Genomic DNA, 20,457 nt, shown 5'->3' with positions numbered 1-20,457 from the left:
GATTTACATTTAAGAGCTTTATTGATTTTGTATGATGTTAAAATTCTGAAGGCCTGAACAAAAGAGATATCTTATTTTTTTTACCAGTGTAACTAGCCACTTAGAATATTTTGATGGTAGTACAAACCAAATGCTTTGTTCTGGAATAAATAAATAGCTTTCTGAGAGTTCCAAATTTTGGCTAATTCTTGATCAAAGCAAGCACAGTCTTTTCATTGACAGTGGAATAGACATGTGTTAGCAAATATTAAGTACATCAATTATCATAGTTTGCCATTCTTAGACATAGCCAGATTTATAAAATATTCTAAAAATAAGCCTCACAGAATTTTTAAGAAGCAAATAACAACAACAAAAATAACTGGTTGGGGAAAAATATGTAGTAAAGAGAAGAAACTTAAAGAAAAAGAGGAGGAACAATTCAGTACTCATGATGAACTATGAGAGACAGTTTTCAAATGCTCATTCAGTTAAGTCAATATAAATTCAATAATTTTTGCAAACTAAGAAATCTTAACTAAAGGTAATTAGTAAAGGATGAGCCTAACCTAATAATAATCAAGTTTTGAGGAATGGACACGAAAGAGAAAACTAGCATATTATATTACTCCTTTTTAAGATTGCATATAGAGTTCATGTATTCTTCACCGTCAAGATTAATCTGGACATCTGATGAATAGTCTCAGTAAGTGTTGTTTAATAATACAGAGGCAAGAAAAATATCTTTTGGCCAGATAATATGAGACTCAATTTTCTTAAATACTACTTAATAAACCATCAGAAGAAGCTAGGTGGGTTGGAATGAACCTTTGTTTTCCTGTATAAATTTGAGCTAAACTTTGATAAGATATTGATATTTTTATAGGCTTAATATTTGTGACTTTTAAAAAGTAGAGGTTGTTTCTTCCCTAGTGTGGATTATGACATAGACAAATAAAGAGGAAATTAGTGAAGAATTCTTATCTGATTGTGTAGACTTGTTCCATGTAATGCATAATTACAGTTCATCACAATTGATATACATAAGTCAAATTTTATTTTTGCTCTTTCTTAAACTTGTTTTCATTATACTGTCTTTTCTTCTTCTAAAATCCACTTTTCTAGATGTGTGTCCTCATTCCTATACCCCCAAAGCATTTAGTTAGCCAGTCATTATACCTTTACATTGGGAGCACTCATTAAGGGAGGAGGTGAGGCCTCTGAATGACTGAAGAATCCATAGTATTTCCTTCCAAAGTAAAATCTCTTTGCTCCTTTATTGGACTTAAGATTCTGTTGCCAATAAGCATCTGTAATAGGGAATTGCTGAAGCTCAATGGGTAGAATGACCCATGCGTGTCAAAGCAAAAATGCTGAGCTCAGATGTGGCAGGCAGATAGTGTCAAATCCAGCAGGCCACTGGATAACCCTTTCCTTAGTGGCCTATGAAGGGAAGCCAATTTCCCTTCTGCTTTCTGCCCACAGACATGCCATTCTGTCATCTTCCCTCATCTACTTTATAGAATACAGCTGCCCATCAGATAGCACTGCCCTGCTAAGCCAACCCAGTCTTCCCCAGTGGAAATTTTAGAGCTAGTGATCTTATTTTCTAATGAAAAGTAAGACCTTAAACTCTGAGTCAAATACAGGCCCTGGGTATGTTTTTCTGGGGCAGCATCTTCTGGGCGCATGTGTATGTACCTCTCACACCTGCACAGCGTTGCCTTTCCCAGTTCTAAGAAGAGGAAGCCAAACTCCACATGAACACTGGGCTGAGAAACAAGGCAGGGAGAACAGACAAGCCCTGGTGAGGTGTCTGTAACGCCAGGGCACACATGGTACCCTGGGCTGTCCAAGGGAGGTGTGACACTGTTTACCAGGGAGAGTGGCTGTGCAGCCTGGCTCCCTACGCCCTGTCTGGCCTATGAAATTTGATCGAAATCACAGAAGGCAAAAACATATTACTTTGACCACAATTCACATTCCGTAGGAGGAGACAGGATTAGAACATTTCTATTCTTGCCCAATGCTGCTAAATTTAAAGTCAATTTAACTGTTCACTGCAGTCTTCCTTCAAAAGACCAAAAGCAAGCCTCATTTTCTGGTGGCAAAATGCTCTGGAACATCATCATGAGCTGTGTTGTTGCGCAAAGGAAGATGGCAGGTCACAAAAAACAGTCTTAAGCTCACAGCCAAGGCTGCTGCTAAATACCACCACTTATGCCTTTATTCTTACTCTCATCCATTTATGTCTGAGTGTATGTATTTAGACAATAATTTCCTAAGCTTGCATTATACTAGAATATGAAGGTGAATGAGGCACAGTCCCAGCCCTTGAAAGGCAAACAGACAGTCTAATAAAGACGGGCACACACATAAACAAATAGAGAAAATTCTCCATCAAATTAAATCTGGGGTGCTGATGGCTCCCCTCTCCTTTTCACTTCTGCATCCTTCCTCAGCTACTCTCTCGAGTCTTTCATTTCCTGTTTACTCAAGGACCCTGCTTATCATTTGAAAGGCAACTCAAAAGTAACTCTAGCCTTCCTCTTTCAGGAAGCCCGTGTGGATTTACCAGGTGAGACCCAGGAAATATTTTACAGTTGACTTCACAATTACTTTCTTCTTATTCAGCCTTCCTCTCTAGGCTTGAATCTCCACTCTCCTCCCCTTTACAATTTTTTAAACCAACCTTATTCTGTGACAAATAATTTTTTTAGGTTATATTTAACTTCTTGAAGATATCAGCATCTTGACTAGTTTTCAACCTTCTCGTGCCATTCGGGATTTTCAAGGACTTCTATAGGCTATCAAGCTTCTGCGGACTCATTTACATTGACTTCATCAGATCTCTGTGACAGGCGTCAACTAGAAAAGCTCTTCTTCCTCCATTCAGCCTGAGATCAAAGATCCCTGGAGGGAAACATGGGCAGAATTGTGGTAGTTAAAGTCTTTGTTTGGAATTAACTTTTATTTCTGCTCGCCCACCAGGCCGAGGGTACTAAATCCTAAGGGTTATTTTCCTACCTCTACTTGAAATAATATTACACAGTATTATTTTATATAGGTGAAAAGGCCAGTCTCTAGGTCTAAGGAATGGCTCTGAGCTTACTGTTCCACCTGTACCTGTATGATCAGCGCCGTCAAATGAAGGAACTCAGGAGCCCTCTTCACCACCTCCTTCCTCCAGCCTTACCTTAGGGGACTGCTTGAAGACTAGCGAGCATTCCCTTTCCGTGACATCACGTGCCTCCACCCCTCAACTCCAGTGGCTGGAACAGGAGGCTAAGCATCTCTTGGGCAGCTAGTATTTAAAGCTCTTTGCTCATTTCTATATGTGTGTCTTCTCCCCAGAGAAAAAGATGGCAAATCATCATGGAAGAGGGATGAGAGATTGAAGAACTAGAGTTAAAATTGGGGTTTGGAGAGGGTTACAGCTTAAGGAAACTTGAGAAACGACCTCTTAGAATAGAATCCTAGGATTGACTAAAAAGCATTTGCCCAGAAAAAAAAAAAAAACCTAAGGGAAAGAATTTAAGTTACTTGGAGTTTTCAGCAAAGAATTTGACAATTCTAAACTGTGGTGATCTGTACCCAGGAAGGAACAAGTCCCTGGCCTGGTCTCCTGCATCCCGAGGCACCTGAAACAGGAGACTGAGATCCCAGCATATTGAAATTACATTAACTGAAACGTTATTTTCTTTCCATGGAAAAATTATAGCAAGGAGATTAGGGTATGATTAAGTGCATTTCAAAGGAAAATAAACATGTATTGCAATAAATAACCATAAAGTAGATTTAATGATACTCTAAAAGCACTTTCATAAATTGGAAAAACAGTGAAACTTCTTTTTCACCATGCCTGTATTTTCACAGAGCATTATATCAATGATTAGAAATCTTCACCACTAATTCAGGGGCTGTATTGATTCATGGCATGGCGCTCAGCTGACCACCTCACATTTCTGTGAGTCCAGGTCTTTCTCTGCAAAATGAGATACTTCTTTTCTACTTTCTCAGAAAGCATATTCTGAAAAAGTAACACAATAAAGGGTTTTATCTCTTAGAAAACATGATGCTCACAGATACACAACCTTTATTTTTATACACAACCTTTTTAGCCAACAATTCTAAGTATACCCTCATTGTAACTCCCTGACGCAACATGCACACAGGCACATACACACACAGAGCAAGAAGTTGCAACAGATCCAAATAAAGTTACAGAGAACAAAAATATTGGAATGGGAGACCAGACTCAATATCGCTTCCATAGAACACAGAATATTTTAAACAATAGCACACTTCATTAAGTCAAGATAAACACAGGAGTTTCAAAATTTAGAGCAGGCAGCCACCAATATATTACCCCTCCACTCTGTGGAGCCATCATACTGTCCGTGAGCCATCTCAAAATATATCAGCTTCCTTGGCAACATTCCCCACACCAAATATGATCTCTCCTTTGCAATGCCCTTTCCATGGGTCTAATATACTGCACCATTATCACCTAGTGTTTATTTATAAGCAGCCAGTCATCACTTCTGGCTGGAATGTCAAAAGCTCTGTCTGGAGAGCTTTTGAAAAATATCATTCCTACCATCCACCCTCAGAAATTCTAGTTTAATTGACCCTAGATGGGACAGAAGAAATCTGAGTTTACAAGGCTCACCAGGTGATTCTAATGCGCTTGGGATCAAACACTGTGGTTGAACAAGAGAGAAGCTTTCACTTATCCAAGTGGAGAGAGTGAAAAAAAATGTATTGATGCCCCAAATAAGTACCTTACTTAAGGAATCACTCTTATGCAAGACAGGCACAGCTGTGTCCCTGATGGCCCAATGTGTCACTCCTCATGTTACAAGTGAAATTCTGCATTTAATTCTGTGCTTTTGGGCAGGCTGACCATATCATTTATCCCTCAAACTAGGACACTTTTGAGAGTGAATTGCTTAGGTAGAACCAGCCAAACTGGGGCACCCTAATTATAATAATGAGCCACCCTAATTACGGGAGATCTTTCTAATTGGGAAACATTTACAGACTTTTGGGATACAACTTATTGCCCTAGAACAAATTAGTTTTCTCATTTGTAGAATGGGAAGAATACTTATCTTACAAATTGGATAGATTTTTAAATGGAGACATTTATATGAAATACCTTTGTGAACTTTGAAGTGCTATATGTATATAAACTTTATATAATACTATTTGAGCAAAACAGTTTCCATCAGAGAGATGGCATGACTAGAAAGTGTTAGTGTAGGACAATTGACAATTATTATTCAGGACCCTCTTTTCTCCTTCAATCCCACTGCAAATTTGGAAGTCAAGTGAGCCAAAAGAAGAAATCCACAGATCCCTGTCAAAGGCACCCATTGTCCTGTCATAGGAGGTGTTACACCTCTAACATGTTAGGTGCCTTTTGCCAAATATTCTGGCACATATTTCTTAGAACATCGAAGAGAATTTACAACTGCAGGATGATAGTTGCAAAAGTCTTCAGTAACCATTACCAAACCTACTATGCTTTACAGATTAAAAGACAATGTAATTTAGAGAAGGAAGGGCCTTCAGAGATGCTCACCACTGCTAGCTTTATTTCCTTGGTTGTTTCTTAACCTTTCTCATTCTCAGTTTCCTTATGCAAAAATGGAGAAAATGATGATCTCTTATCCTAAGGTTGTTTGAGGATTGAAGTGGAAATATTAGTATCTAGCACATGGAAGGCACATAATAAATGACAGCTGTTGCCACTATTATCATCACTATCAGTTCTTGATCTGTTCAGTAACCCATGAAGCAAACAGTGCAGAAATAGCTCTAACAAAAAGCAGAAGAGCAGCAGAGGAAGAGGAGAAAGAAAAGGATAGTCATTTTCATTTTGCAAATGTGGATGGATACTGAGGCTTGGGTTTGTTATTACAAGTGACATGTCCTGTTGTATCCAGAGAGCATGCTTTACACAAGCCTGGCTGAAGGATCTCATTTGTCGTGGAGCTGCACATTGATGGCATAGCACAGCAGGTGTCACACAGAGCCACAGACCCATTTATGGTAACCATCACCTTCCTCTTTCCTGTGGCCCTGTCCTTTGAGGTTATTTTCTTAACCTCCCTGACCATGCACATTTTACATCCACATCATGCCATCCTTAGTATTTAACTACGAGGTGGAATGTATCCCAACACATTTAGATAATTTATTTTTAGTGCTAAAATGTTTTTATAACCTAGCCCAGATTAGATGGAACCTTTTCCTCTTTTCCAGTGCAAGACAAGCGATTGAAAGAAGTGGATGTGTTATTGCGGGCACAATGGAGCCACTGAACTGCAGTGCAAAAATGCAGTAAGGGATACAGATAGAAGAAGGAGAATGTCAGGAAAAGACAGCAGAGGTTCCATAGCTAAGGTCAGAAGGGACAAGGAAAGAGTGCTCCTTCTCTGCCCTATCCCAGAGAGATGAGGCAGGTAAAAGGAGGGCCATTGAGTTGGAGCTTTATGCAATCTAGGGTTCTTTGCTTTGGGAGTGGATGTATGCCTTGCAAAGAGGAGATATTCCTGCCTCTACTTCTGGGGAGGAGCTGGGTGAATGGATGTTGTTGCTAACACCCCATCTGCCTGGTTCATGGGTTTCTACATCTAAGTCTTAAAAGATTGGTGGGTTTAGCAACCAAAAGTTTGTTATCAAGGGCTTGAGAAGAACAAATCACTAGGTCCTTGTAAAGAATCTTTCATTCTTAACTAAACTTGAAATCCCAAATCTCAAAATAAATATGAAACTAGGCTTCCTATGTAGCAAAGTGCCCTATAATTTTCAGCTCACTAGACTCTATAAATTCTAGCTTTTGAATTCACAGGCGACATTCGGATGGGTAAATGAGTTCACTTGTCCTGAGATCTGGCTGCAAGATTTGGTACCTGATATGAACCTAAATCTGAGGATAGTGTTGGGAGAAACCTTCCTGACCCCAGTCTTCATTTCTCTTTTGCCTATTATTTTACTTGCATATGGTTATTTAAAAGCAGCACATATTGTGGAATGTGAATCTCAGCATTTCTGATGGAGTATTCCTTAGATAAAGAAATAGGGAAGGCAAAGCCAGTTAAACAGTCAGCTTGGCGGACTCCAGCAAAAGAGCTATTAACAAAATATTGAGATCTGTGGAAAGATAAAGTCCATAGAGTTGAAGCACTGACCTCTACACATTCATAATCAAAACATGAAGGTAGCAGAGTCTAGGATTTGTTTAATACTCTCCTATCCTCTTCTCTCCCTTTCTCTTATTTCCTTCCCCTTTCCTGCCCCCTTCACACCACAGACACACACACAAGACCTGGATGATAGCTTAATGGCAATTCCATACCCACTTTTAATCTACCCAAATTACCAGGTTCTCCCTGCCATATGCCAAGGTGCCAGTGAGCTTTCTGGTGCCACCCAGCAATTCAGAGTGGTTACGATGGTAAGATGAGAGCTGTGCCTCTGCTACAGTTGGCCTCACAAACTCCCCTTGCTTATGGCTTCTTAACTTTGCAATAATAAGCCCCTTGGAGAAAAATAAAAAGCCAAGGAATGAAGAAGGGATCCCAGACTAAATGTGAAAAGAAGAAAATAAAACACCCATTTTCAAATCAGAAGACAGGAAAAAACAGGGGCAGGAACTGGTTGTTAAAGGTATTGTTTTTATAGGACTCGTGGCAACTAGAAATTCACTTTATGTATAAAAGACAAGGACATGCATTGATTGGAAACTGCATAAAAATTACAGCTGGCATTTCTGTTTTCTTGTTTTAATTTTTAATTACAAATTCATTCTTGTCTTCGTAATATTTTCTGTGATTTGGTCATTTTCTATTTTGACTAGTGAAAGATTCTCCTACAATCTCAGAGTATGAATTGGCTGAATTGTACAAGTGGAATAGAGGAAAAACTCCCCTTCACTCACCCTTTTATATTTAGCCCTTTCTTTTACATGGCCCTAAGAGAGCTTCCCAAATCCTGTCATTATCAAGTATAAGACCCTTCGCAATTTCAAGGGTAGCCAATGTCCCACCACACTTTCAGACCCCATCTCAGTTTCTTCCTTGGTGTTCCGCTCATTTAACTTCCTTTGTTTCCATCTCCTGTTCTTTCCCTTGGCAAATGTTGATGTGCTAGGAATATAGCAGTGAAGACACAGAACAAAAATCTCAGCCCTTATTTAAATAGAAGAGATAGGCAATACTTACATTTTGTTTCATGGTGATAGGTTAAGGAAAAAATGAAACAAAAAGCTGAATGATTGTTGTGTTTGCCTGGGTAGATCGAGTTGTTAAGGACTTCCTCCTTGAGTAAAGCAAGCCCTATCACTACTGGTGGTCAGAGGGCAAGTGATGTCAGGATGCTTATTCTATTATTATGTCTCAACTGACACACAAACAACTTCCAAACAGCTGCTTGACACCAGGTCAAGGAACAGTGATCTTATTTAATATGCTTTGTGTTCACGGTGGCAGGCATTGTGACGGAAGTAAAAAAGTAACAGAAATAAAAGACAACTTTGTTTTTATTTTGAAATTCCGAATAGATTCCACTTTCTTGAGGGTAGAAATCAGCAGTATGAATCATTATATGCTTTGAAAACTTGACAGAAACCATGCTGTAGAAAAACTGTGCCACAAGTAGGACATCAGAGAAGGCTCCATCTAGTAGCTCGCTTATGATCTATGATCTGAGCTTTAAAACACATGACATGGGTGTCTGGAAAAGGACATTGGAGGTGAGGGGAACAACAGGGCTCTGTAGTCCCGGATTCCTCAACAGAGTTTTAAAATAATCTATGAGCCAATGCATTTGGAGCTCCAAGATAATTTCCAACCTTGTCTCCAACTCTCTCTGCCACTTTCACCCACCATACATTGTCTCCTTTCTTCATGCCTAATTATGAGTTCAGTACTCAGGATCATGTTCTTTTCAATGTTTTTTTCCTAAGAACGTCATGAGCACCAGGCTCTTCATAGGCTACTGAAATGAGGAAAGCTCTGACCCTCCACTCAAGAAGTTGCTACGCTGGTAAGTGAGCTAACAACTATCCAATGATGGTATATAATGCTCACTCTTTCACAAAATCTGCTCTCCTTTGTTTTATTTTCCCAGAAGAAGCTGCATTTCCAGTCTCCTTTGTAGGTATAGATAGCTTCAGTTCTGGCCAATGAGGCATATTCCAGAACTCTTCCCTAAAATTCATCTTTAGTTGATTTCTGCTTCTGGTACAAAACCAGCCTACTTAGCACAAATAACTAGAAACTTAGGCAAAATACATAAAACAAATCTTTCAGACATTGAGAGAACAGGCAGAGTGGGACTGTGATCACTGAGAAAAGGAAAACAGAGGTGAAGCCTACTATTGCCCTTGCTTTCTGCCTATAGACAATTTCTGGAAGATGGCAAAGGGAGGAAGATCCCAAGAAATGCAAAAGAAATGTTGCTAAGCTGAAAAGACAAATATTGAACTTGTGGGAGGATGAGACAGCCAGAATTTGCAGGGCAAATTATTGGAGAGTAACAATTTCTGTAGAGAAATATGCATAAAGGCCCCCTTAACTATGCATGGATACAACAAAACTCCACAAAGCTGCACAAATAGTAACTGCTCAGGAAAAATACTCCGGGAACTGTAACCTGCACAACTCCTAGAGTTTAAGCAAGGTTAAGAGATACTCAAATCCCTTCCAGCCAGAGCTGAGAAACCCCACTGAGCCTCAAGGAAGTCGGTAAAGAACCTAGAGAATCATGTGTTGGTAGTTTCGCTTAATTAGCCCTAGAGTTAGGGCTACTTTGGACAACCCTAACAAAGCTTAAAAATAAGTTTTGAATACATTAATATGATTTGCAAGTAACTTAATTGCCTAACAAGACAAACTTAAGCCCTCCTTAGAGAAAAATAATAATTAACACCCATTATTATAACATTCATAATATATTTAATAAAAATTCACTAGACAAGCAAAGAAACACTATATTACCTCAAAACAGAAGAAAATAAGCAGAATCAGAAGTGACAGAGATAATGGAATTATAAGAGAATAATTTTAAATCAACTATTATAAATGTAATCAATATTTCCTAAAGGACAAGATAGTGATAATCATAATAAATGAATAAGAATACTTCCAGAGATAAAAATACAATATCTGAAATAAAATTTTTCTGAATACGGTTAATAGTAAATTGATACTGCAGAAGGAAACATCAGTAAAAATGAAGACACAGCAATAGAAACTAAATTGAAGCACAGGAAGGAAAAGAAGAAAAAAATAAAGAGACTCAGTGACCTGTGGGACAATATCAAACAACCAACACATGCAAGATTGTTTTCTGAAAGGAGTTGAAAAAAAAGGTACATAAAATTTTTTTGAGTAAATGCTGGGGTCTGACCTGCAGACCCAGGCTGCACGGTGGATGAATAACATACTCAGACACCGATATAAAGTGAAAGAGTGGCTAGGGAACCAGGCCACTCACAGAAAGAGTTGTAGCAGCCATATAACCTGACTAGCTGGCCCTGTGGGCATTTATTCAGCACAGATTTAATAACAAAGGCTTTGAGTCAACACACTTGTGGATAATTAATTAATGTGGTTGCCTTCCCCAGAGAGAGCAGTCCTACAAATGATTGGTCTTCGGACCACAGGAGTCAACAAGCTCTTTAGATAAACTCCCTTACATTCCTTTATACCTACTCTAAGCTATCAGCTCACGGGAAGAGGATAAGGCTGTTTTCAGCCATAACTCTCTTCCAAGGCTTTTACAAAACCTTCCTGCCTTCCAAGAAGGTTTGCTTCTCTTTCCTATAATTTCCTCTTACAATTTTTCCCACCGCCATGACTGAACTCCTACATCTCTCCCTTTTGTTTTTAGCATCAGGTTTTGTTGGAGAGTACAGATGTGTGCAGCAGCAGGTCTGTCAGGCATGGTGGTCACTGCTCGTATTCTGGCTTTGCATCCTAGAATTGGTAAATAACATAAGACAAACATGAGTATAATTTGCAACTTTCTTTTCCAATCAAGGAGTGACTTGTAGTGTTACTTGGCAATTTAGTTTGATGTGTGCTGTGACTAAGGAACCCCATTGAGGGTATGTTAATCCCTCTCCGTTAAGCAGTTGTGTTGTTAGAAGCTGGGAAGGGGGTGTTTGTCAAAGTAACAGGGCAGAAGAAACGCGGATTTAAGAGATAAGTCCAAAAGAGTGTAGCAGGTACCAGTTGTAAGCAGAACGAGAGAATAAAAAAGGAATAAATTATTTGGAGCGAATGGTGTGTTTAAAGCAGGATTTGCTTAGCCTTCTGAGTTGTCTTCTTCAGCATTCTGTCTGGGTCCTGTGTCATCCACAGAAGCCGCATTGTCTGGGGCTGCGGGTCCTATAGGGTCATTTTCTTCATTTCTGGTACTGGGTTGGGTCCTAGCCATACCATAATATGGTTTGATGCATTGTGCTGGAATCCAAAGAGGACCTGAGGGGGTATGAACAAAAGCATATCCTCTTCTCCATGTTAGCAAATCATTTGGACCACACCATTCATTAGTGTTTACACCTTTCCATAAAACTGCAGGTTTTATGTCTTGAGAGGTTTTAGCAAAGTGCTTTTGTGACAGCTGATTGAAATTTATCATCTAAATTTAAAAGATTAAGCAGTGCTCTACACATTCGGAGAAACTTCTCTAGAAACAAACTATAGAAATGATCCCTGAAAGTATAGTCTTTGGGTAAGTTGAAATTGTTATAGTTAAGTTTCTCCAATTTTGGTGGAAAAATTGATGCAATTGGGTGGCTTGGTCAAGCAGTGATGTCATAACCCAAAGGTCTGCTTGATCATTGCCGTAAGCCAAGGGGCCAGGCAGTGAGCTGTGGGCTCAAATATGTGTGATAAAAATAGGATGTGTACATTGATCTAGCAATTGCTGACGTCAGAGGAAAAGAGCACGTGGGGCTGGCTCCAGAGTGGACTTAATTAGTGCGGTCTCAAGGTTCTGCAATAAATAAACAGAGTAAGGCCGGGCTTGGTGGCTCACGCCTGTAAGGCCAGCACTTTGGGAGGCAGAGGTGGGTGGATCACGAGGTCAGGAGTTCAAGACCAGCCTGGCCAAGATGGTGAAACTCCATCTCTACTAAAAATACAAAACTAGCAGGGTGCGGTGGCAGGTGCCTGTAATCCCAGCTACTCAGGAGGCTGAGGCAGGAGAATCCTTGAACCTGGGTAGCAGAGGTTGCAGTGAGCAGAGATCACGCCACTGCACTCCAGCCTGGGCAATAGAGTGAGACTCTGTCTCAAAATAAATAAATAAAAAAACAAACAAACAAATGGAGTAAGCAGAGTCACTAACAATATTGATGGGCTGAGCAGAAAAAGTCTCCAAAGCCAGTATTAAGGCTCCAACCTCTGCTCTTTGATTGCTAGTAAACCCAGAACAAGTGAGGGAATTACATGGTCTCCACCAGACTACCACTTTTCCATGTTTACCTGAGCATCAGTAAACAGTGTTAAAGCATTAGGTATGGGGGAGGGAACTACTTTTGTAGGCATAATTACAGGAGTACGAGATAAGAACTGAAGCAGTTTGTCAGTAGGGAGGGTATGTTCTAAATGGCCTGTGTCATCAGTGAGTGGTATCTGAAGATCTAAAGAGAGGGGCAATACTGCTTCAAATTGCCTTTGACTCAAAGGAATTCTTATGACATCAGGGTCATAACCTAGCAACTGATTACATCATCTGCAGCCTGAATAGATGACTTTACTAAGTAGCTGGATATAGGGAGAGAGTGTTTTAGTCCCAGTATGTGAGCAAGAAACCCATTCTAAAAAGTGCAGTCCTGGGCTCATCTGTCCTATTAACCCTGCAGGGGAATGTTTAGTGGGGAAAATAAACAACTGGACAGAATATTGAGTGTCCATGCAATCCATTTGCCTTTGGGAAATAGCTTGCTCTATGTCTTCAATTTCCCTTTTTGCTGCAGTGGTCAAATACCTGGGAGAATCCAGGGCTATATTGCCCTTTAAGATAGAAAACAGGTTTTGCAACTTCTTGCAACTTATCAGTAGATATGCCCAAGATGGGGCAAAGCCAGTTAATATCACCCAATAATTTTTGATAATCATTTAAGGTGCATAAGTTGCTAGTATTTAATTTAACCTTTTGAGTTCTTACTGACTGGGAAGTTAGTATGTACCCAAGTTATTTCCAAAGAGAAGACATCTGTACTTTTTCAGATGCTGTGATTAAACCTCTTAGGTATGTATTCTTTACGACAGAGGTATATAAGTTTACAAGTACTGTCACCTTTGGGGCTGCTAATAAAATATCATCCATAAAATGAATAATCTTGCAGTCAGGAAATTCTTTTCCACTGGGGAGCAAAGCTTGCTTTACATAATACTGACACATGGTAGGACTGTTTAGCATCCCCCGAGGAAGCACTTTCCAATTAAATCAGCAAGGTGGCCTCTCATTATTGATAGCTGGTATCGTAAAGGCAAATTTTTTTCTGTCCTGTTCTGCTGTGGGAATAGTATAAAAACAGTCTTTTAAGTCAATAACGATTATAGGCCATCTCGAGGAATCGCCGCCGCGGATAGAAGGCCCTGTTGAAGGGGCCCCATAGGTTGCAAATTAGCATGAATAGCACGTAAGTCATGCAAAACTCTCCATTTACCAGACTTTTTGGGAATGACACAAATGAGCTAATTCCAAGGGCTGTTTGATGGTTCTATATGGCCGGCTTTTAATTGCTCCTCAACTAATTCATGGGCTCTTTAATTTCTCTCCCTTCAGAGGTTACTGTTTTACTTAAATTGGACTTGAAGAGAGTCACCTTAGGGGTAAGGGAGAAATAACAGTGGCCATTATTAGAAAAGGGTTTTTCAAATTCTTAAATTTTACTTAAATTTTAGCAGAGAATTATAATCTGGGACGTCACTTGTATACAAGGAACACATGAAATTTTGCTGTGGGCCACCTGCAGAGCACAGCGGTGTGGGTCCCAGGGTGGCAGCTGCATTGTGCTCGCTTAGGCGCGACTTTCTGTCTGCGCCATTCTCTCCCACTGCCGCCAGGTGGCTGCTGCCGGCCGGCCAGACCCTGTGGGCCCAGGCACTGTGAGCTTCCCTGCCCCTGAGCCTTTTCTTCCGCCCATAGCCCACTTGGCTGCGTGGCTCCGGCCTCTAATGCCTTTTTAAAAATCTTCTTATAAGCATCAAAAGAAATGGGTTTATATACCTGATTGCCTGTTGATCTTGCATTACCAGGCAGGCTAAGAGCTCCCCTTCTAATGCCGCTTGCCTAAGACAGGGTCCCATAGCTGTAGTGTATCCCTTGTCTTTTATCCAATTTATTGGAGGAGGGGGCTCAGGCAAAACCTCCATTTCTTCTTTGTTATTTTTGCCTGGAAACAATGGGGCTGAGGGAGATGGAGGCGGGAAGGTAGGTGACGGTTCTTCCTCCTTCCCCTTTTTAGGCTCTTGGGTGTATAACGGGACCTGGGCCGCCCTAACTAAAGTCCATAGCGTTAGAGATGATACTGGGACCCATTGCCCTTGTGCATGATGTTGTTTAAGATGTCTCCCCACTTGTTCCCAGAGCTCTACATCTAGCGTACCTTCTTCTGGGAACCATGGGTTATGGAATACAACAGTTTGCATTAGGTCCCTTAATTGAGCCCGTGAAACCGAGGCTCCACTAGCTTTAAGCAGTAGTTTCAATACTTCTATATACTGTTTAATGACAACATGTTTACCAATTAAATTTTAATTTCTGATTTTGAATAGTATGGAGGAATATTTATTTCTATAGATTTATCTTTATCTTGCTGACTTCCTAAACCCAATTATTAGTTCTAGAAGCTATTTCTATAGATTCCAAAGTATTTTCTACAGAAATAATCATGATGTCTGCAAATTACGATCATTTTGTTTATTAGTTTTCAATTTATTTGCATTTTAAGTCTTCTTTTTTGCCTTGTTATGCTGGCCAGAGCTGCCAATACAATAGTGAACGAAAGTGGTGAGAATAAACACCCTTGACTGTTTCCTGATCATATAGGGAAAGTATTCAGTCTTACACCATTAAGTGTAATGCTAGCTCTAGATTTTCTACAGATGCCCTTTATTAAGTTGAGGACATTTCCTTCTCTCTCTAGTTTGGTAAGAATTTTATTCAAAAAGAGCATTACATTTTGTCAAATTATTTGAAAATATATATTGAGATTAATTTATGTTTTCCCCTTATTTTGTCTATTAGTATGAGCTGTGGTTGGGGATAATTGACTGCAAAAGAACCAAAAGAGCTTTTCTGGATTCACGAGAATTTTCTGGGTCTTGATTATTGGTGGTATTTGTAATCGAATTGTGAATTTACAATGTATGCATTTTCTTGTGTGTTATACTTTTACATAGTTTATTTTAAAAATACATCTGGATTGCATTCTTGTCACCTTATTTTGTTATATCTTCCCCCATTCTGCTGCCTAACATTTGTGCATAGTGATCAGAGCTCTAGCTGCCATCTTACACCTTATCATCTGATATGAGGATGAGAGCCATGGATGCAAGGAATTCTAATCTCTGAGAGCTCTGAGAAACTAAGCTGCCGTATCTAGTCCTGCCCTGACTACTTCTAGATTTTTACCTGAGAGAAAAATAAACCTCAGAAATGTTAACCTATTGTTACTTTTTGGCAACCCTAATTTTAAATACTGAAATAACTGAGTGCAACATGGTACCATAAACATTTGATGCAGAGGAAGTACCAGGAACATTTAATAACGTTCATGATGAGTTATAACTAGTTGGGTTTCAGTAAAAATGCTGTTGGCAGGTGGTGGGGGGTGGGGGGCGGGGGAAGAGAGAGAGAAAGATTTGAAGTGGACCTTAGAAGTGAATATAATTTTAGTAGACAAATGTTGGGGAAACCAGCCCCACACCACCCAGTGGGTACCCCGAGTCCAGCAGAGACAGAGGAGTTAGGAAGAGACAGAATAAGCATTTAAAAGGTGGGTCCAGGGGACCGGAGTGTTGGAGTCCTGGTCATGGCCCAGAGCTCTTGGGCTCCACCCAATTTATTGGTTTACAAGCTCTTTGTTCTTAGGGCAGATGGAAGGGTGAGGAAGGGATGAAGAAAAGGATTAATCAGTGAAGGAGAACTCATGAGTCATTTGATAAGATGTATAGCAGTGGCGGTGTCTGTGAATTTCCTTGAGCAAAGGCGTGTGTCTAAACTACTTAAGATCTTTAACTTACCAGGACTGAAACTGGTGGGAGGATGTTTCAGGAGGAGCCAAGATGTTTGATTATACTCCACTGCTTCAAAGGAGTGTTATCTCCCTGAACAACCTGTGGAATGCTGCTGAGTGGTTATGCTCTCAGGGCATAAAGACGTGAAGGCAATAAGGAGACTTTTCTCCTTGGAGGCTGCCCATGGCTTCCCATGGGTGTCTCACACAGGGGAGACCAACTCATCTGGCACCCCAGAAACTCTCTTTCCTACAACAAATGTGGTAGAAAAGCATTCCAGGAAAAAGACTGTCATTAAAATAGGTGCACAGATGATGAGAGGTAGAAGCATTCAGGTGATGTAGGGGACATGTAGGAAAATAAAAGGACAAAGGGCTAAGTAGTTATGCTGGAGTGCTCTGGAGAACCTGACTGGAGAGCTGGGATTCATTAAGCTGTAAGAAGTCAAGAAAGGTTTCTGGGCAGTGAAGTAATAGGTAAAATTAACCCATGGCAGCCCAGAGAGAAGAAGCAGAATAAATACAGGGAAAGCAGAAAGTATGCTTAAGAAGCAAAACATTCAGTTTAGCTAAAACCTGGGATGTGTTGAGAGGAGTTGGGTATGGAATAGAATAACAACTTTGAATTATTGGCTTGGTATGAACTTATGTCTTTAAAAAGCATAAGTAATTATTTCTGACTTAAAATCAATTTGCCTATAGAATGACATAGCAGTTATATATTAGAATTAGTAAGGCAGTATGGATGAAAATACAAGATTTAAGGCTATTAACATAGTACAGACAAGAGAAAATAAGAATCAGGATCAAAAAATAAGGTAGGAAAGTTTGTGTAGTAATGAAATCAGGAAATGGAGAATGATCACATGTGAGGGACCCTGGGTAAGAGATGAGTCAAGGCTGGCTTTGAGGGTGCAAGTCTGAGATAGTCACTCAACCAAGAATGATGCAACAGAGGTAGTGACTTTCAGGATATAATTCCTCCATTTAACCCTGGGTTGTGACACTCTTCTCTAGAGAAACTAAATTATTCTGCCTATGCTGATACATGGAAAGAAGGGGAGAAGTGTAAAATGCAGAAAATACTATGATAAACATGGGAGACACAGGGTAATTGGAGTTTGAAAAGGAGAACGGATTTAAAAATAGGGCAATGTTTGAAGAGATAATCACTAATAATTTTCCAAGCAATGAAAGATACCAAGCAACAAATTTAGGTAGCTTTACAAATATCAAGCAGGTAAAAATTATATAAAGGAAACATTACATAAGTATATAATACAAAATAAGAGCATTCAAAACAGAACAATTTAAGTCTGACAGCCAACTTACTAATAGAAAAGATGGGAGTCAGTAAGCAATGGGAGAATTTCTTCAAAGTGTTGAAAGAAAATAATCACCAGCGTAGAATACACTTCTATCCCCATTGAATACATGCTTTAAAAAGGAAGGCAATATAACCTTGCTGGACAAATGAAACCTGAGATAATCTATCATTAGTGAAATAGGCCTAAAGGAAATAATAAAGGGTCTTCTTCAGGCAAAAAGAAAGGATGCCAGATGGAAGAATAATAATGAAGTAATTAATGAAGAAGAATATACACAACAAAAATATGAGCCAATGCTTTTCCCACTGTGCAACTTTCCCTCTCTGTACTTTACTAGTCCATATAATCAGCTCCACTGGTAACAGCATGCACATTGATTATCTCCGCTTGCTCTATGATGTGTCAACCTTGGTGAACCCTTACTCTAAATAGGTATGTTTTCCAGACTGTTAGGAATATATCTTTTAAAATACTGAGATATTTTAATTGTAACCATTTGAAACTGACACTTCCAAACATACAGTATACATTTATATTTTTCATAAAAACACATGGCAATTGTTTATTTTGGCATTATTTTATAAGATAAGGATGGGCCCATGGATGGGTATAGTGTGATTTTTCTCCCACATTAAGTAAACTAACACTTTCGTTTATTGAGTCACCTGTCACTTTAGTCAATAAGCCTACCTGTAATAGCTTCTCAATCTATAATTTGATATTTCTAACCTGCTGTGGAATCAGAAAACAAGTGATCAGGCTTATTATCTGCTTGTTTATCAAACCTGCAAATACTAGATGCAAGATGAATTTTTTGGAGGGAGAAAAATGGCAAGCTATTTCCAAATTATTTTTTTTATAAATTAGGTTTAATCTCGATAACTAAACTTTTAATATCTATTATTCATGAATATGTATACAAAAATTATCAGTGAAACAGCCACTAAAATTAGAAAACACATTAGTAAAGAGAATTCAACATTATATTAAGAAAATAATACATTACGACCAAGTAGGATTTATTCTAAGAATCCAATGATAATTGAGTGTTATGAAATTCTTTAATTCAGCATATTAATAGATACAAAGAGGAGAAATATGTAATAATTTCCACAGATATTGACAAAGTGGCTGAAAGAATTCTCTAATCATGCTAAGTAAGCATTAACATGATTAGAGTATTCTTTCGACCACTTTTGTCAACATTTGTGGAAAAGGAAGCAATAAGAAATTCTTCCTTAACATGATTAGTCCTCAACTCAGCATCTCACTTACTTAATGGGGAAATACTGGAAACTTTCCACTAAAATCAGAAACAAGACAAGGATGACCACTATCCACTACTATTCAACATAATAAGAGAGGTACTTACCAATGTGATTTGGCAAAAGACGACAGAGAAATAAACAAAATTACCTCTATTTTCAGATCATATGATAGAGTATGTGTACAATTCAAGAAAATGATAAAAACTCAAGAAAAATAGTAAAGTAACAGAAAATGTAACCAACATAAAAAATCACACTTACAAACAATAACCAGTTGGGAGGTAAAATGGAAGGCAACCCCCTACTTACAACATCAATAAAAACAGAAAGTACTTAGGAAAGACAAACCTTTCTGAGGAAACCATGAAAACACACACCTGTGAAGGATGCAAGTAGACTTGAACAAATTTTTCTTTTTAATACTTTTAAATTTATTTTAAAATCTTTAGATATTTAAATAATATTTAAAACATTTAAGTATAATTACTAATTAAATATTAACATTTATATATAATTTAGTAGTTTGAAATTCACTACAACACTTCTACACTTAAAATAATGTCACTGGCACATGAAAGACAGACCAAATAGAACAAAATTAAAAGTCCCTAAATAGTCCCAGGAACACGTAGAAATTTAGCATAATGCTATAAGTTATACGTAATGAGTTTCTCTGAATTTCTAAAATGATTCTAAAACAATTTTATTTGCATAAAAAGATTGAACAAAAGAATGAGTTCTTACTGTGGGAAAAGAAAGTTAAAAATATAGAATCACAGTAGAAAAGGAAAAGTTCGTCAGTGTTTGATTGGATTATAGAAAATATAGACACATAGATGTAGATAAATTAGATATAGCGGTAGATGTAGTTATTTCCCAGCTCTGTCAACTGCAAGGGACTAAAGGTAGTGATATCCGTTAGAAAGAAGCATAGCTAGTATTTAGGTCCTGACATCTAAACACTATTTCATTTTTTTCTAAAAGGAACTAATGATTCTTGGAGAAATGCTAATTCTAGGATTAGAGCAAGAAAAGCTGGCAGTATTTTTGAACACAAAGTTTTGGTGTTGTGGCAAAAATTAAAGGAGTGCTCAAAATCTGATGGGGCTATGTCAAAATGACACAGGAATCAGCTTAAAGGAGCTTTTCACTGACCAAATTTAGATAATTTTGAGCAGAAAATTGAAATCTTTCAGTAATATAACATATTGAAAAAAAGGTGAATTCATAAGTTGATACTTATCCAATAAATAAGAACAAATGTACAAATGAATGAGTGGATATAAGAAATGGGAAAGAAAACCCTTATTTATAGAACAGTGCCAACTAATCATGTGTAAGCTAGAATATGAAAATCTTCATTTTCCAATTATTGTAGTCATAATCGATTATGTAAAGAATCATCAATGGATGCTAAAATCATTGGTTAAAAGATTGTCAAGAAACAGGATATCCACTCAGTCTCAGATTATCAGTTATCAATTACATAGCAGGAAATATAAGGAAGAAATTTTTTTAAATTTTTATTTTTAGTTCCAGGGCATATGTGCAGGATGTGCAGGTTTGTTACATAGGTAAATGTATGCCATGATGGTTTGCTGCACCTATCAACCCA

At 38.5% G+C, this 20,457-nt stretch overlaps 2 long non-coding RNA genes and 1 pseudogene across 4 annotated transcripts in view, besides 1 other annotated feature; 1 reads left to right on the top strand and 2 right to left on the bottom strand.

Moving 5' to 3' along the window:
* LOC105370777 (uncharacterized) overlaps positions 1-20,457 on the top strand; it is a 556,255-nt gene that overhangs the window by 393,526 nt on the left and 142,272 nt on the right. The window lies entirely within an intron of this gene.
* LOC105370781 (uncharacterized) lies at positions 1,014-8,299 on the bottom strand. Its single transcript, NR_188221.1, has 3 exons — positions 8,211-8,299; positions 3,176-3,322; positions 1,014-2,892 (listed from the first exon to the last, which is right to left on the bottom strand). It is a non-coding gene; the product is annotated as an uncharacterized LOC105370781 (long non-coding RNA).
* LOC124903603 (uncharacterized) lies at positions 11,634-11,724 on the bottom strand (annotated as a pseudogene).
* Positions 16,008-17,207: an enhancer, noted in NCBI's record as "P300/CBP strongly-dependent group 1 enhancer chr15:39302529-39303728 (GRCh37/hg19 assembly coordinates)". NCBI's record gives its function as "activates an origin of replication core promoter dependent on BRD2, BRD4, P300/CBP, MED14 and CDK7 cofactors, with strong dependence on P300/CBP, by STARR-seq in HCT116 cells {active_cell/tissue: HCT116}" and the evidence as "EXISTENCE:reporter gene assay evidence [ECO:0000049][PMID:35650434]".

This window comes from Homo sapiens, chromosome 15 (assembly GCF_000001405.40).
Source record: "Homo sapiens chromosome 15, GRCh38.p14 Primary Assembly".
Classification (NCBI taxonomy): Eukaryota; Metazoa; Chordata; class Mammalia; order Primates; family Hominidae; genus Homo; species Homo sapiens.
Note: the sequence above shows the minus strand (reverse complement) of the source record. Positions and strands in the feature narration are given on the sequence as shown.